This window comes from Homo sapiens, chromosome 12, assembly GCF_000001405.40.
Source record: "Homo sapiens chromosome 12, GRCh38.p14 Primary Assembly".
NCBI lineage: Eukaryota > Metazoa > Chordata > Mammalia > Primates > Hominidae > Homo > Homo sapiens.
In genome coordinates this window covers 64931165-64948548 of record NC_000012.12, presented here as the reverse complement: position 1 = coordinate 64948548, position 17384 = coordinate 64931165, and the positions used below count along the sequence as shown (strand labels likewise).

Sequence of the window (17384 nt, the reverse complement as noted above, 5' to 3'; positions counted from 1 at the left end):
GGTGACATATGCACAGCATCAAGCCCCAAATCTGGCACTGACTCAAGCAGATTGGAAGTAGAAACGCCAAGCCAGGTTGTATAGGAAATGTGGGCAGAAGAAGTGATTAGAGGCCCAGGAAATGTCCTTCCAGCCTATTCCAAATGTACAGTGGTATGAACAAGTATAGGACTTCTCTTCATATAGAAAGATAAAGAGAACGTCACACACTAGCATGCCGGGGGGCAGGACAAGGCCGCTGTGCTGTGTGGGGTTGGGCCCTGTGAGAAAACCTCCTGGAGTGGGAGCTTAGACTACACAGCCAGGGGCTTCAGGACAGCAAGATGATAGAAGGCCAAGCTGGGTGCAGGAATGAATGAACATAGGAAAAGAGGCCATTGAGAAGGATGCTGAAGGATACCTTTGGTCGCAGACTGCTTCCTGAAATCCCAGGCCTATCTGCAGGTCTCGTGTGTCTCAACAGGACACCTCAACAATTTACGGCTCCAGGATCTTGGGACAGAGGTCCATAGCTCAGAAGGTAATGGTTACCATGACAAAAAATTCACCATCAACAACAAAGACACACACACACACACACACACACACACACACACAAGACCTCTTCATTTCCAGTATCTTACCATCACCCAAACAACACAAACACCACCAATCTGGGCAGTCTTTGAAATGCTTTTTATTTTTCAGCGATACTCCTACAACTTTGACCATTTAAAAACAACGACCTGCTCTTGATTGTGACATGCTAGCAACATTGAGGTAATTATGGCCTCAGCTCCAGGCAGATCCATTTCAGGGGAGTTCCTGCCACCACTCATTGTCTCTCCACAAGGAGACCTGAATGGAGAAGGGAAAGGCTGAAGGCTGTGTCTCCCTCTGATCTAAAAGTTCAGACTTTAGAGAAGGGCCATGCTGTATTCTGGAGTAGGCATGTCAGTGCCCTAGTTCTTTCTACAAGCAAGCTTGCCTCCTCCCTTCACTCAAGTATTGGCCAATTCTATTTAGAATTCTAAAGGTAGAAGGACCACCTCCTGACATTTCTGAGAAACATGCTCAGGCTATCTTCACAACTCCACTCAAACCCACCTGTGTTCTGGAAGAGGGGCTGCAAAATCACTCTCCAGGGATTTCATGCTAGAGACAGAGGCCAGCTGAGACAAGTGTCCGCTTTCACTGTTTCTGCTCCTTCAGGAACAGGATGCATTTGATGGTCCCAAAAGATGCTTTCCTTGCCTAAAATTCCACAGAAAACTGGACTGAAGCAAGATTTGACTTCGTGGTTTGACACATGTCCAATTACTCCACAACATTTATGCCTCAGTAGGTACCCAAAACTCGACGGCAGCCATCATTGACCAATGTGTGCCCTGGGTCACTGCGGTGGAAGCAGGGACATGTGGAACAAATAGTGCAACACAATCTCACTCTGGGGAAAAAAAATACGTGCTGCAGAAAGTCAGTGGAGGACAGCATTTTGGTAGATTTTTTTTTTAGTCATTTCGTCAATAAATGTTTTCTCAGACACATGCTGGGCCCTAGAGATAGCATGCTGAACTTGACAGATAGTCCCTGCCTTCACCTAGCTTACTATTAAGCTCAGGTTTGAGGATCCAGCTGATCTGACTTCAAATCCAGTGGCCTACATTTGCAGAGCCTCCTCAGCTATAAAATGAGGATGATAAAATTATGCAAAGGGTTATCGTGAAAGGTAAATCAGATAATCCATGTGAAGTATTTAGCCCACTGCCTTGCTCTAAGTGGTGGCTGTTGTTAAGATCATTATTTCATAGGTCACTGGAGGCCTGCTGGAAACTGTGCACTGGACACCAGAATGACCTTATCTGTATGAAGGGCCTTTGGCAGGCAACCAACCCAGAGTCTCAAAGGACTGCATCCCAGCTACAGACAACAGAGCCCCAGAGCTCTCAGCTGAAGCTCAGCATTCACAATCACACAATGCCCAGAAGAACCCAAGCCCCACCACTGCTGGCAGGCCACTGCCCCAGGCAGCAATAAAGGCTCCCAGAGGCCTTTTGTCAATTGTCCCCTGAACAGAACATAAACATCTCCATGCTGCCATTCAGTGGACATCCTGTTTACATGGTGAGTGGGGATCTTGGTTGCTTTCCCTCTTCTCTTTTTAAAGGCTGTAATTATGTTTACCCAAGTCCAGCAGTAGATGCCAGGAGGACTGTGAGTTGATTTCCCTGGCTAACACTGCAGACGGCTGGCGGCAGCCCCACTGACCCCTGCATCCTAGGCAGAGAGCCAGCCCTACATTCTCCTTACAAAGACAGCCATTCTCACTGAGCAGTTTTCTTTGCATGCATGCTGGGATGCTCTGGATAATTGGCTAGCCAATGCCAAGATACGTCAGCACTATGCACGTACCGGATAACTGGATAATGAAGGGAAAGGAAGGGTACAGAGCTCTGTAGTTAGAATGCCTCCTGGGTACCATGCAGTGTACCATGAGCATTTCACATGCAGGTAGTCCCTGGCTTATGATGGTTCAACTTACAATTTTTTTTTTTTTACTTTATGATGTTGCAAAAGTGATGCACATTTAGTAGAAACCATACTTCAAGTACCCATACAAGCATTCTGTTTTCACTTTCAGTACAGTATTCAATAAATTATATAAGCTATTCAACACCTTATTATAGTAGTCTTTGTGTTAGATGATTTTGCCCAACTGTAGGCTAATGTAAGTGTTCTGAGCAAGATTAAGGTAAGTCCAGGTTAAGGTGCTACATTCAAAAGGTTAAGTATATTAAATACATTTTTAACTTATGATATTTTCCATTTATGATCAGTTTATCAGCATGTAACCCCATCATAAATTGAGGAGCATTTGTATATTGTTTGATCAATCCCAGTACAACCCAGAGAGTTATGTATTGTTACCAGATTTTTCAAATGAGGAAAAAAACATAAGGTCACTCTGCTGGTAAGTGGTAGAACTGGAATTTAAACTAGATCTATCAAGCTCTGTAGTCTATGTTCTTTCTACTCCAGAAAAAAAAAATGAGATAACATTTTATGCATGCCCAGATGAGTTGTTTTGACTCAGTGATTCCCAGGTGTTTTCATCCCTTTCCCATCTGTTGTAATATATTTTCAAACATCAACCCAATGCAACATTATTTTTTCTTAAATGGAGTCTCACTCTTGTCGCCCAGAATGGAGTGCAATGACACAATCTCAGCTCACTGCAACCTCTGCCTCCCAGGCTCAAGTGATTCTCCTGCCTCCACCTTCCAAGTAGCTAGGATTACATGCTTCACAGGAATAAAATAGAGCTCAGAGAGCAGCCCAGGCCAAAAGGGAGCAATGTACATGGAAGTATGAGTCAATGCTCACAACAATCGAGGTCCCAGGAAACTGTGCTCATGACACACCTTATCTTCAGGGTCCCTATGGCCCCTCTCAACTCATGTGAACTCTGCTCACTCCTAGCAGATGGTATTCTCTCTCCCTGACTTCCTCTCGGGATGTTTCAGGCAACCACTAAGGTGGCCTCCAGGGATCCCTGCCTTCTGGTACTTACTGCCTGTATGATCCCATCCCCGTTGAGTGTGGGCTGGATTTAGTGACTAGCTTCTAGCAAATAGAAATAGGCAGAAGCAAAATCACTTCCAAGATTAGATAATTAAAAAAAGATCATGGCTTCTGTCTTAGTCTCTCTCTCTCTCTGTCTCTCTCTCTCTCCCTCCACCCCCGCCACCACCCCTCATTCTGCAGAAGATAAGCTGCCATATTGTAATACTCTATAGAGAGGCCCATAAATCAAGGGACCAATGTTCCCAGCCAGTGAGGACCTGAGCCTACCAACAGCCATGTGAGTGAGCTTGGGAGCAGATCCAATCCCAGTTGAACATTGAGATGACTCCAGCCCTGGCCAATACCTTAACTGTAGGTTTGTGAAGAACAGGAAGTTATAGCCAGAACATATAGATTCCTAACCCACTGAAGCTGTGAGATAATGTTTGTTTTAAACTGCTATGTTTGGGGGTAATTTGTAACACAGCAATAGCTACCTAATACTCGGAGCGAGGACAGGTCCTAAAGGGAAAGAGGGAACAGTGTGGAAGAAGACCCCAGTGTGCAGTTCGCCAAGGTAATCTCCTGTCACTGCTATCCAACCTCTGTAGATCCCAGGCAGGCTGACTGTAACCTCACGCTATAGCTTTAGAGATCTAGAAACCTTCAGAGAGATTTCCCAGGACAGCATTCACAGTTTGGCTGCAAGCTGTCATCACTCATGACAGGAGAGCCAGGACAAAGCAGGATAGGGCAGGTTGTGACCCTGGTCCTCAAGAATGGGCAACAGTAATAATACTGTGACTGTAATGTGACCAAGCGCAGAGGAGAAAAATGTGGACTGCAAAACAGCTGATGCCCAAATCCAGAGGTCTCATCCACTGTGGTCAGTAGAGGCATCATTGTGACTCATAGCCAGTCCCCTGGCCGTTTTGGCTGATAATGGGGTGACACCATGCAGCCCACCAGAGTAGGAGGCTGCCAAGGTTAGGCCAGCAGTGGACCTGAGGTCATAAACAGGAAAAGAACCCCAGGAGGAACATTAATTCTATAATGTGACCCAACACGACAGGTGTTGAGGAAGCCTGTGGTTTGGCGGGCTCACAGCAGCCCTAGTACTCACCCCACACATACCACAGGATTGCTTATTGCAACACGGCAAATCTAGGCCCTTCAGTGTTGTGGGAATGAAATTCAGAATGTTTGCCTCACTGTGGTCAGGAACTATGGCTGGATGAATAACAGCCCCCAAATGTGTCCCTATCCTGATCCCCGGACTTGTAAATGTTATCATATCTAGCAAAAAGGACATGAAGATGTGATTAAGTTAAGGATGCTGAGATACGGAGAGTATCCTGGATCATCTAGGTGGGCCTGATCTAATCACAAGGTCCTCTTGAGAGCGGAACAGGAGGACTTCGAGTCAGAGGAGGTGATAATGGAAGCAGAGATGGGAGTGTTACACTCGGAGGATGGAGGAAAGGGTCGCAAGCCAAGGAATATAAGCAGCTGCCAGATGCTGAAAAAGGCAAGAAAGCGGTTTCTCCCGAGAGTCTCCAGAAGGAACCAGGTCTGCTCACACTGTAACTTTAGCCCAGTGAAACTGATTTCATGGTCCTGACCTCCAGAACTCTAACAGAATAAATTTGTGTTGTTTTAAGCCACGAAGTTTGTGGTAACCTGTTGCAGCAGTCACAGGAAACCAATTCAGAACCATCAGGGACTAGTCAGAAAAGAGCGTGGAGGTGGAGTCTCAATTCTTGAGGCCAAGCAGAATTGTAGGAAATAAGGATTGCAAACCAACAAAAATTCGTGTTCTAGAGAACCCACATTTGAATTATCTTCATTGTTGAAGTTGAAGGCCATGGGCCATCATTGCCTATGTCCTTATTTATTATCTTGTCTATATCAATAGTATTTGCCCAAAGAAGCTCTCAAATTCACATTTTATTAAAGGATATGAATGAATGAAGAATAAAACATACAAATGAAATTTCACCATAAATGCCAGCCAACAGCTTCTTAGGGCCATTATTTATTGCAGAGATTTTATTTGGGGGGATTTCAAATCAAGACCAATCACTTCCTTCTCTGCTAAGTTGCTTTTACTGTGATTTATAGATTAAATGTACACAGACAAGTATATAAATGTATACAGAAGGCAGGCTTTTGCCTAAGGTTTGCTTTATGGCACAGGTAAACTTGTAAAGAACGCTCTGTTACGTGTTTAACTACATAACAATTCCAGACTTGTGTAGGTCAAAAATATATCACTCAGAAGGAAAAAGCTAAGCAACAGACTTAATACTGTACATTTGTAGCTAATATGACATATATATTTGTAGCTTATATATGCTAATGTATTTATAGCTAATAATCTTTTTTTTTTTTTTTTTTTTTTTTTTTTTTGAGACGGAGTCTCGCTCTGTCGCCCAGGCCGGACTGCGGACTGCAGGGGCGCAATCTCGGCTCACTGCAAGCTCCGCTTCCCGGGTTCACGCCATTCTCCTGCCTCAGCCTCCCGAGTAGCTGGGACTACAGGTGCCCGCCACTGCGCCCGGCTAATTTTTTGTATTTTTAGTAGAGACGGGGTTTCACCTTGTTAGCCAGGATGGTCTCGATCTCCTGACCTCATGATCCACCCGCCTCGGCCTCCCAAAGTGCTGGGATTACAGGCGTGAGCCACCGCGCCCGGCCTATAGCTAATAATCTTATATGTGAAAAGCTCATCCAATTATGAAATTATTATTAAAAACAATTATCATGAAAATCAGGAAACTTTATGGACAAATATACAGTCCATGACCAGATTATTCTTTGAAAGTAAAAAACCCCAATTAGCAAAGATAGAAAATATATAATCCTTCTAGAATTCAAAGGAAATGGTAAATTGAAATGGGAAATTACATTTTTAAAACCTCAGGTACATGGAGTTGGTCATATGCCTCAGTTGTGGCAGGCTGTCTCATTAATTTGTCCAAGACTCATTTTTTCATTTTATTTTTACCCATTTTCATCCACTCCACTCCCCTAACCTTCCTCACCATAGACACTGTAATGTGTGCCAATGTATGTTCTTGGATAGCTGTCTGCATTAGCTTCCTGTAGCTGCTGTAACAAATTTTCTCAAACTTGGTGATTTAAAGCCACAGAAATTTATTTTCTCATAGCTCTGGAAGGCAGAGGTCTCAAAATCAAGGTGTTGGCAGGGTCACACAACCTCCGGAGGCTGCAGGGGAGATTCCATTCCTTGCCTCTTTCAGCTTCTTGTGTCTCCATGTGTTCCTTGGCTTGTGGCTTATAATAATACAGTTTATAAGTTTATCTGTGCCATAAAGTTAATATTAGCCAAAGGTCTGCTTTCTATATACATTTGTATACTTGCTGTGTACATTCAACCTGTAAACCACTCCAATCTCTGTCTGTCTTCACACAGTCCCCTGCCTCTATTGTGTGTCTCTTATAAGAACATTTGTCATTGGATTTTAAAGTCCCCCTAGATAATCCAGGATGATATCATCTTGAGATTCTTACTGAATTACATCTGCAAAGACTCCTTTTACCCAAAAAATCACATTCACAATTTGGGAATGTGGACATATCTTTTGGGAATGTGGACATACCATTCAACCCACTACACTATTCCTAAAAGCCATGTAGTGATTTTTGTGTATGTGTGTTATTTTTCATAGTAAATTGTGCTAAAAGTCTTATTCTACTTTTTATCACAGATGCTCCTTGACTTATGGTGGGGTTACATCCTGATAAACCTGTTACTGTTGAAAATATTGTGAATTGAAAATGCATTTAATATACCTAACCTACTGAACATCACAGCTTAACCTAGAACACTTACATTAGCCCACAATTAGGCAAAATTATCTATCACAAAGCCCATTATATAACAAAGTGTTGAACAGGTCATATACTTTGCTGAATACTGTACTGAAAGCAGAAAACACAATGATTGTATGAGTGCTGGAAGTATGGTTTCTACTAAATGTCTATAAATGTCCAACCATCACAAAGTCAAAACATCTAAGTCGAAACATCCTATGTTGGGGATCATCTGTATTTTTACCTATCACTATGTTTTTGTCTATCCATAGTGTTCCTATATACCTGGTGTATATTCCATAGTATGTACCCCATCAAATTTTGTTTATTCAACTTCCTAGTGATAGACACCTAATTTCTCATCTACCTGTCTGCTACCACATAAAAGGTAGCAGGGGACATAATTGATTACGGCCCTTTATGGATATGTTGCAGGCGTTTCTCTGGTGTATATTCCCAGGCGTCAGTTGGATGGATCATACAGAATATAAATACACCCTTGGTTTCTCTAAGTATTGCTAGATTGTGTCTGTACCAGTTAACTCTCACATGCCTTTTTTCCCCTAAATTCTTGCCAACACTTGGAATCATTCAATTTTATAATATTTGCTACTCTGATGTCCATAAAGTGGTATCTTACAGTTGCTTTAGTTGGTCACGTTGGTATTGGTCATATTGGTATTGTCGGGTTTTGTACTAGATTGTAATGGGTGTGCCTTTCTTGTCTTCTCTCTTTGTTCCCTTCATTTGGACAGGAATTAACTTTTCTAGTTTGTTTACAGACCCTTAGCTCCAAGGTCAGATATTTGTCTGTTGGCCTTTAGCCCCATACTCACTCTCTTATATTCTCCTCTGGAAGACAGGTAAGCAGAAAGCCACATTCCCCAGACTTCCTTGACAGCTAAAGTTAAATTTGGTTCTGCCAATCTGGGGGAACTGCACCTGACTGGCAAGTAGAAATAAGGGTGGGGCCATTGTTTCTGACAGTGCCTCAGCTGCAGCAGCAGAGGTAGGTGGCTCCTGCTCAATGTCAGCCCTGTGGTTTCAGTGGCACTGGTGGACAATGGCTCCATGGTTCCAGCAGTGACCCCAGTGAGGGTGGCTCATACACTCTCTCCCAGGTATGCTAGCAGATCCCTGAGCTCTGGGTAGAACACCCTTTCCCTTTTGCTCCTCCAAACATCTTTAGAATCAACGCCCCACATTAAATCCCTTTCAGTTTGAATGATCTAAAATTATTTCTGTCTTCCCGACTGGGCACTGACTAACACATTTCCAGTATTCTTATCATCCTCCTAGAATGACCTTTTGTCCTACAGCAGCATTTCAAAGCATGTCCTTGCAAGATAAACATTCTTAGACCTTGCATCCCTAAGAATATCTTCATTTTGCCCCTTGCATTTCAGTGATAATGTATCTGGGTATAAAACCCAGGAGCAAAATTCTCGTGCTTTGGAAGTATGGCTGCACTGTCTCCTTGCATCCGGTGTTGCTATTGAGAAGTGTGATGACAGCTTATTCTTGTTCCTTTCAAGGTCATTTGCTCTTGCTCTCAGGAATCTTCTTTTAAGTTCTTAAATTTCCTGATAATGTAATGTATCTAGGTGTTGATTTTTTTTTCTTATCTCTACTGTACAACACTGGCGAAACCCCTTCAATCTAAAGCTTTTATCTGTATTTCTATGTAGATTATCATTAATTCAAAATAGTTCTCCACTACTGTTTATTGTTTCTCTCTCATTCTGAGACTTTACTTTTTTTTTTTTTTTTTTTTTTAATTGAGACAGGGTTTCACTCTGTGACCTAGGCTGGAGGCCGGAGTGCAATGGTGCAATCACCGCTCACCGCAGCCTCGACCTTCCCAGCTCAAGCGATCCTCCCATCTCAGCCTCCTGAGTAGCTGCGACCACAGGCATGCATCACCACATCCAGCTAATTTTTCATTTTTTTATAGAGACAGGGTTTCGCCATGTTTGCCCAGGCTCATTCTGAGATTGTTATCATGTTGACATTTCTATTTTTATATGCCATATCATTTAATTCTCTTTTTTATGAAGTCCTCATCTTTTTTTTTCAATTTTTAGGCCTGAGGGCCTCTTCCATCCTTGTCAAGGGTAGTGCTAACCTTTTGTCCTTTCAAAAACACTGCAGTCCTTCTCTTTCTTACTGCTGCCTAGGGGTTTGAGACTTCCAGGTCATTGATTAGTTAATCCAAAGTTTACATTCTGCTCTTCAATCCCTTTATTGAGTTCTTCATTTCATCTATTGCTTTCTTATTACCCAATTCTCTAGTTGAATATTCTTTGTGATGCTCATTTCTTTTTGCTATTTCTGATATTTTTATCTTTTCCCCCGTTTGTGGCTATTTATGTTTGTTTTATATTCTTATGTCTCTGGTCCACTAATTCTAACTTCCTTTGCTATAGGTTGTTCAGCTTATCTTCATTTTATAGCAATCAAATTCCTCTATTTATCCATATTTTTCCCCCATGATGTATTCAGCACATCTGCTGGCTTGGCTAGCACAGTGGCTCTGGACGGAGGGACCAATCAAAGTCACCTAGGTCTTAGATTGATCCTTTCCTCAGAGTTTAAAAAGGGGTATAGAGAAATGTGACCAATCCCTTGAGGCCATTTCAAACTTCACCTCCACTATGACACACAGCTGCAAACATCCCCAGCCAGGTGCTTCTGCCCTCCAAGAACCCCCTTTTCTTCCACCTGGGATACTGCTCTGCTTAGAGGGCGACATCCCTCACTTGAAATCTCCTGGCCCACTGGGTGGAGACAGTGAGATGAGGGAGGAGAGAATTCTCAGGAGCCAGACCTTCTACACAGCCCTAGTAGTCACTTCCCAACAGCTGGGCTCCCACAGAATCACACTAAGGCCAGGCGGTTGCCACTGTGTTCCTGCTCCCACAGAATCTACAGGGCAGGCAGTGAACACCTTCCTACTTATTCTCTTTCAGTTTATCCCAAAATACCACTTTTGTCATGTCACTTCCTTGCCTAAACACCTTCCATGGGTCTCCTTATCTATATTTAAAAAAAAAAAAATGTCCAGTATACAAGGCCTTCTCCAATTTACCCCTTTATTTCCTGAATATCTTTTTCTATTTGGCATCCTCAAATTTACTTTGCTGTCCTATCTTTAGGTAGCCATCACAGCATAACCTCTTATTCATAGCAGAGGCATAAAATTATACCTCTTAATTGATTGTGCTAGCCCATAGGCCAATGGTATTTTTTAAAATGGCAAAATAATTGTTCTTGGTTCAGAAAAAGAAAAAAGTCTCTTTCATATGCAAAAAGAGGGCACAAGTTACCATCACTTGTACATGTGTTAAGCATTTTCACAATGTCAGAGAAAGGTCTGCAATAGTGAGTGAGCCAGACTCACTTATTTGATCTCTCTTTGAATCAAGGTTTCACATTTTTAAGATGTCTTAGTAGTGTGCAGCTAAGGAACAGGCTTAGGAAGTTGACCTCATGATATTGACCCCATGAGCAGTATTTCAACAAACAGGAGCTAGCCTGTGGGAAGCATGAAGGCACTAAAGGATGATGTAAGCTGTCTAAGTCTCCAATCTACTACCTTGAGTTTTGGCCTCAGGACCAATGTAGCAATTTGCAATTATGATCCCCTATCCTCAATCATGAAAATGTGTCAGTTCAATGGGAAGTAAAATGGGCTTTTAAATAAAGAGGGCTAGATAAACTCGTGCATCACAAACAAAATACATGCCTGCTTCCAAATGGAGAAGTAACTGAAAATGTCCAGGCAATTGGACTAGCTTTCTTTTCATGTCTCCACCATTTGTCTTTGGAACCTGAGTCATTTCTATGTCAGCTTGCCCAGGTGGCCTGGAGAACATAAGGGTTGCCAGCCAGGACACTAACTCTTTAAAGGTCTGTTTATGTCTGCATAACTAACAGTGCTTATGTGTACTCAGGAGGAAATGCCAAGCTAACAAGGAAGACCACGAGTCCACAAAATTTTAATTTCTAGTTTTAGGAGAAATTAACTTCCACATTCATGTTTTTGTATTATGAATTTGCATGACAACTTAAAAGTCTGCCATGGTATTTATGGTAATTTCATTACAAACCACATTTTCATCTTTTAATTTCTTTCCTATTTATAATTATACAGCTATAATTAAAAGGTATTACAATGACACGCTATCCTCACTAAAAGCCTGGCCTGCCAGACTTATTACATTCAAGATATTTCTCCAGCTTTATTTCTTTTCTCTCATTTTGGAAGAAGGGGAGGGGAGGGAAGGAAGGCAGTGGAGACTTTGGTCATTATAACCTCAAATCTTTTCATCAACTTCTCTTTGTTCCTTCAAAAAAAAATAGGATTTTTCCAAACAGTCCCCCAACTAAATGAAATGTTTTGATGTAATAGTTTCCATGTAAGCTTCTCACCACATCTGAAGTGATGCTCACACAGACTCACTAAGACCATGCAAAAAACTTCAAGGATGGCTGAGACCTGGATTAAATTGTCTTCCAGGGCGAGTGCCAGCAGCCTCTGCCCCCATGGCTCAAAGGGTCTCACAGGCTTAACACCAAGGCTGAGGCACCTCTTACCTTTCTCTTTCAGAACATAGAAGTTACTTGTGTATAAAGACTTTCTTCCATTCCAATGACTTATCGCTCACAAGTCCAAGAAAATAATCTGGAGGCAGGGAAACTAAGTGTCTAAGGCCAAGCCTCAGCTGAGAAGAGTGCAGTGAACTGATCATTAATTACCTCCATATCTTCAAAGAATGTTGAAACTGTGCAGCCAAGCACAGTCATTGCCCTCAACGAGTTCATACCTGAGCTGGAAGAAGGATGCACATCTACCGTTTGTTGCCAAACTACTATTCATCTTTCCGTTAGAGAACCAATGTTCTCCCACCCATGACACCCTGGTGGGACTATCCATCACTGAATGTCACCTACTTTGAAGCCAAACACTTTGAGCGAGACCAACAAAATTACTTCAGGTAAAAGAGTCCTGGGGCAATAAGCCACTGTTTTTATGATTGCTGCTATAAACATGGCCTCACATTGGGCCCAGATTACCAGACTCCCTCTTCTCTCACAAAAAATTCTTCTTGGGATCCTTTAGGATCTTTTCTTTCTGGTGACCTTCATTGAGATCATCTCAATCCACTAGAAGGTTGTCTATCAAAAACGTAGGGGTCGAAATCTTGATCCCATTCCTCATGAAAGGACCCTCATTCCCTCTCCACAGTGATCTTCTGTCAAATCACAAGGAAAGGTCCTCCTTCCTTGGGGCACTTCTAGGGCAAGAGATAACAAGTTGCCATAGATTCAGAGTGGTTTCTCACAGAAGTAACAGAATCTCCTCAAAATGATTTGCTGTCTGCCCCTAGACCAATGCTTTGCTGCCTTAGCTCTACATTGGTGTTATGGACTGAACTGTGTCCTCCCAAAATTCATATGTTGAAGCCCTAACACCCAGTGTGACTGCATTTGGAAACAATGTCTTTAAAGAGGTAATTAAGGTTAAATGAGGTCATAAGGGAGGAGCCCTGATCCAAGAGAACTAGAGTCCTTATGAGAAGTGGAAGAGACACCAGAACTCTCTCTCCATGCACACAGAAGAAAGACCATGTGAGGACACAACACAGAGACAGCCACCTGCAAGCTAAGAAAAAGAGGCCTCACCAGAAAGCAACCCTGCCAGCACCTTGGTCTTAGACTTTTATCCTCCAGAACTGTGAGAAAATAAGTTTCTGTTGTTTAATCCACACAGTGGCATTTTGTTATGGCAGCCTGAGCAGACTCATACACCTGGAGAGATCTTGAAAACTCAGTGTCCAGGCCATGCCCCATGACAATTAAATCAGAACCTTCCAGTCAGATCCAGGCATCAGAATGTTTTAAATCTTCCAAGATAATCCCAACGTGCAGCCATATTATATACAAAGAGGCTACTACTAACTTTGAAATGGCAAATTTTCTTTCTCTTTCCATTTTACATAGCTGATATTCCCCAACATACAATAAGGATATTATATATTTTCATATTTACTGCATGTATTTGTCTCAATTTGCTGTTTGCTTTTATGACTTTGCCATATATACACATATATAGGTATGTATGTAGATGTATGCACACATATATGAATGAATATGAATATGAATGTATGAATATATGAATGTGTGTATATATGCCTCATATACATATATGTATATATAATACAAATGTGTGTACACACACATACATAAATACATATACTTCCTTTAGTTTTCTTTTAATAGTGGAAGGAGTGAGCAGAATTGCAACTCAACAGAGCTAATAGCAGCAGGTATTCTGAGTGACCCCTTGATACTATGACTCTTACATCTAGAACGATAGCGCAAGTTCATTCATGGAAGCTCTGGTTCATTTATGTGCTTAGTGTTGACTTTGTGCCAGACATTATACTAGGTGCTAGGGACTCAGTAGTGAATAAAAATACACCCAATCCCTGCACTGATGAAGCCTAGGAAGACATGGGTAATTGTTTCCATGCACAGCAAGATCTGTGCTCTGGAGAAAAGGACGTGGTCTCCAAGAGGGTGAAACCAGGCATGTTAACAGCCTTTGGAGTCACAGCAGGCTTCTCTGAGGGCACCGTAGGCATCCCTTCCTCATGTGGGGTTCTTTATTAAGAATGTTTTCTTCACTGCAAACCAGTTTAGAGTTCACCATATGAAGGGAGGGTGGACTAACTCTAAGCTCAAAGATAGACTTCCATCATGTGTGCTTGTGGTACAGTGTTTAGCACCATAACTCACTTTAGAACAGTCCTGATCACCATCACGCCTTAAATATGCATTCCCCACTGGTCTCTAAGGAACTCATCTGTGGCTTGACCAATCACAGAGCCATTCACTTTTAAATTATCTATGGAGAGCCATGAAGCAGAATCACTCCAACCTGACAATTTCCTGTTTGTTTCCCAGAATTCTGGGATTCTAAGAATTCCAGGATTGTTTTTTGTTTTTATTTTTTTAAAAAAAGCATATACACTAGAGAGAATCTAATGATGTCTAAAGAAAATTGTCAAATCTTTGTGCACCCTGAGAGTCAGATCCTCTTTCAACTTTAACATTACTTGATCGCCTGCTGTGAAGTAAACACTGCTCTGTGAAGTAAACATGTGCTGAGAACTGAGATCTAAAACCGTTTAAGACTTCTGCTGTTCCTGCCTATAGCAAGGAGCACATTTTCTTCACTGCTTGAAGTGGAGAAAATGGCTATTCCCAGCCATTCCTGAAGCTCCCATGGGGACTGAAATCCAGTAATGCTGCTAAATGAATGAAAGAAATTAGGGTACCTGGGTTCCCAGATGTCCTCAAATGGGGTTTAGGTCAGGAAGAAGTTGCCACAGAACTCAGGACCTACTTTGCTACTGGTGGTGACGTGCGTAAATGTGACCACTTCTTTTTACTCCACAGAAATTTTTAAGTGTCCAAACTGATAGATTGCTCACCAGCAAACACTGAAATCTCTTGCTCTAGTCATAGGGCGAGGCTTTGGAAAAATTAAGAACAGAACTCAGAGCTCCTCATATTTCCTAGTGATTTCCAGTGGACTTTACATCCTGCCCTCAAAGATTTTCTTTGAAGAGTTATGATTTCATAATCTGACCCACCAAAGGCTGTGAACAAGATCATGTAATGATGCTTCATATCCAACAAGGAGTGATGGGACCACAACTATTGGCAAATATGCATGAGATTTTCACCCAAATCATCACAGAGAAATATTGTAAAACGTGTACTGTTACACACAGAGACACATACACACACACACACACACACACACTCCCCAAAGGCTTTGGTTTGTCTCCCAAGCCTTGTGGAGGCAAACTAGCTGAAACTTGAATTTTAAGGCCTGGGATTCTCATGCTACCCTAAATAGCTGACAGGGACTTGGATGTAAAGCAACAGTCAGACTAAAAGGATAGCTTTCTATTGACTCAGTTCACCCCCAAATCACTCAAATATTTTTTATAACTATAGGGCTGAACTGACACAGAAAACAACTGCAAATATGATAGCTGATGGTCTCACCTTGGTGGTCATGGCTATTCCTCACTGAATCAAGGGAATGCCCCAATTTTCTCATCTAGTTTCTCATCATTTAGTTTGTACTTCTCAGATATGTAGGATTTCTAGTGTTTCCTTCTTTCCTCTTCCTCTTTTTCAAGTTCTTTCTTTTCTAGGATTTAGTAACTTTCATTCTCTTTCCTTTAAAAAGTTTTTTTAATCCAAAATGGATTTTTTTTTCCAAGGTGGCAGACTAGAGGCAGTATTAGCATGCCTCTCCCACCTGGAAGGACAGAATAGTGTGTAGAGTTTCACACTGTGATTTTTTTCCCCCAAGAACCAATGCAGGAACTTAACAGAAAAACCTAAAGAAACCACAGATTCTTTGAAAAAAGTGGCAGGCTGCAGCCTACTCCATGAGACTGGTGAAAAACTGTAAGTCCTGAGTGTGAGAGGGAGAGAGTCAGCCTCCAGAGTACACATCCCTACCAAGGAATCTGAAAATCCAGACCATGAGAGAAGGCCTTAACCCTACCTGAACTGGAATGGATTTAGAGAGCAACATGAACTATAAAAATGGAAGCAGCAGCAGAAAGTGACTTGCAGGCATTCCCAGTTTCCAGCATGAACCAAAGGAAGACATTCCTAACTATATCTTATAGGGGCCATTGGAGAAGTCAGCCAACAAGCTCAGGGAGGGGTCACAGGGTGAAAGAAGCTCCCAACTAAATTTTGTGGTATGATCTCAAGTGGGGAAGAACTCCTTTGACCAGAACAGTGGCAGGGGGAAAAGGCAGGGAGCAGGAAGTGCACTGCAGACACAAGTGAACACAGGAGCTGGGCACTGGCCTTGTGGGCAGGCAGGAAGGAGCGTAGCCTGAAAGCTGAGGTTGCTATCTCTGTGGGGAAGTTGATGGCCTGGGGCAGGTCTCAGCTCTGTGTGCAGACTGCCTGAATCTAAACCTGCTGCTGTTAGTGGAGCACTGTGGGAGTTAGATTGGCCTCACCAACTGTGTGGGAGCTGGGTGAGGCTTACTGTCACTGGCTACTCCCCACTCCCTTTGCAAACTCTTCTGTGCAGCAGAGGCAGTTCTATTCCCCTCTGGAACATTATCCCTGCAGCCTGAAATCACCCCGCAAACCCTCACAGGAAGGGCCCTTCTGAAGGAGAGTCAGAGCTTTAGACCCTCATATCCGTCTGACCCTGCCCCCACCTGGTTGTGCCCCTCCACATGCCCTGGTAGCTTAACACAAAGGACATAAACTTTGGGGAGCTTTATAGCCCTGCTCATTGCATGAGAAATCAGAATACTTCCCCAAGAAAACTTAGGGCAAGCTCAAATCCCACTGCTACTACTGTGGCTGGTGCTCTTCTGCAAGTGCCACCTCTTGGCTGGAGCCAACTGACACAGTCCATTATGGCACCTCTAAGTAGAATAACACTGCACCCAGTAAGGAGAAATCAACTGTGTGACCTCAGCTATTACCCGAGGGCCTAAGCCTGTCCATGTAACAAGTTCACTAAAATTATAACCAGCATACAAGAAAGCCAGCACATTAAGCCTATCTATACCCAAGGAATCTCGCAGAGTCTGTGTCACTCCCCTGTCACCACCATCAGGGCTTGTGCTGGTATCCACTGCTGGGAGACCTGAAGTCAGGTCACATCACTGGATCACTTGCAGACACTAGCCCAGAGTCAGTAGCCCCACTGGGTGGCTAGACCTAGAAGAACAATAACAACGCTGTAGTCTGGCTCTCATAAAGTCCCATTCCTAGGGGAAGAGGGAGAGCACCACATCAAGGGAACACCCCGTGGGACAAAAAAAATCTGAACAGCAGACCTTGAGTCCCAGATCTTTCTGCTAGTGAGGAGTTTCTTACAGCAGAGACACAATTGCAGTGCTGGGCACAGCAGGGAAAGTCTACACTTCTACCACAACAGG

At 42.7% G+C, this 17384-nt stretch overlaps 2 long non-coding RNA genes and 1 pseudogene across 2 annotated transcripts in view, besides 1 other annotated feature; 1 reads left to right on the top strand and 2 right to left on the bottom strand.

Moving 5' to 3' along the window:
* LINC02389 (long intergenic non-protein coding RNA 2389) overlaps positions 1-17384 on the bottom strand; it is a 93749-nt gene that overhangs the window by 28974 nt on the left and 47391 nt on the right. The gene's annotated exons all lie outside the window — the stretch shown is intronic.
* Positions 1-17384, top strand: part of LINC02231 (long intergenic non-protein coding RNA 2231) — a 71447-nt gene that overhangs the window by 43743 nt on the left and 10320 nt on the right. The window lies entirely within an intron of this gene.
* RNU6ATAC42P (RNA, U6atac small nuclear 42, pseudogene) lies at positions 9432-9526 on the bottom strand (annotated as a pseudogene).
* Positions 16387-16888: an enhancer, noted in NCBI's record as "H3K4me1 hESC enhancer chr12:65325441-65325942 (GRCh37/hg19 assembly coordinates)". NCBI's record gives its function as "activates a minimal SCP1, AML or CMV promoter by ChIP-STARR-seq in naive H9 embryonic stem cells {active_cell/tissue: H9 hESC(naive)}" and the evidence as "EXISTENCE:reporter gene assay evidence [ECO:0000049][PMID:30033119]".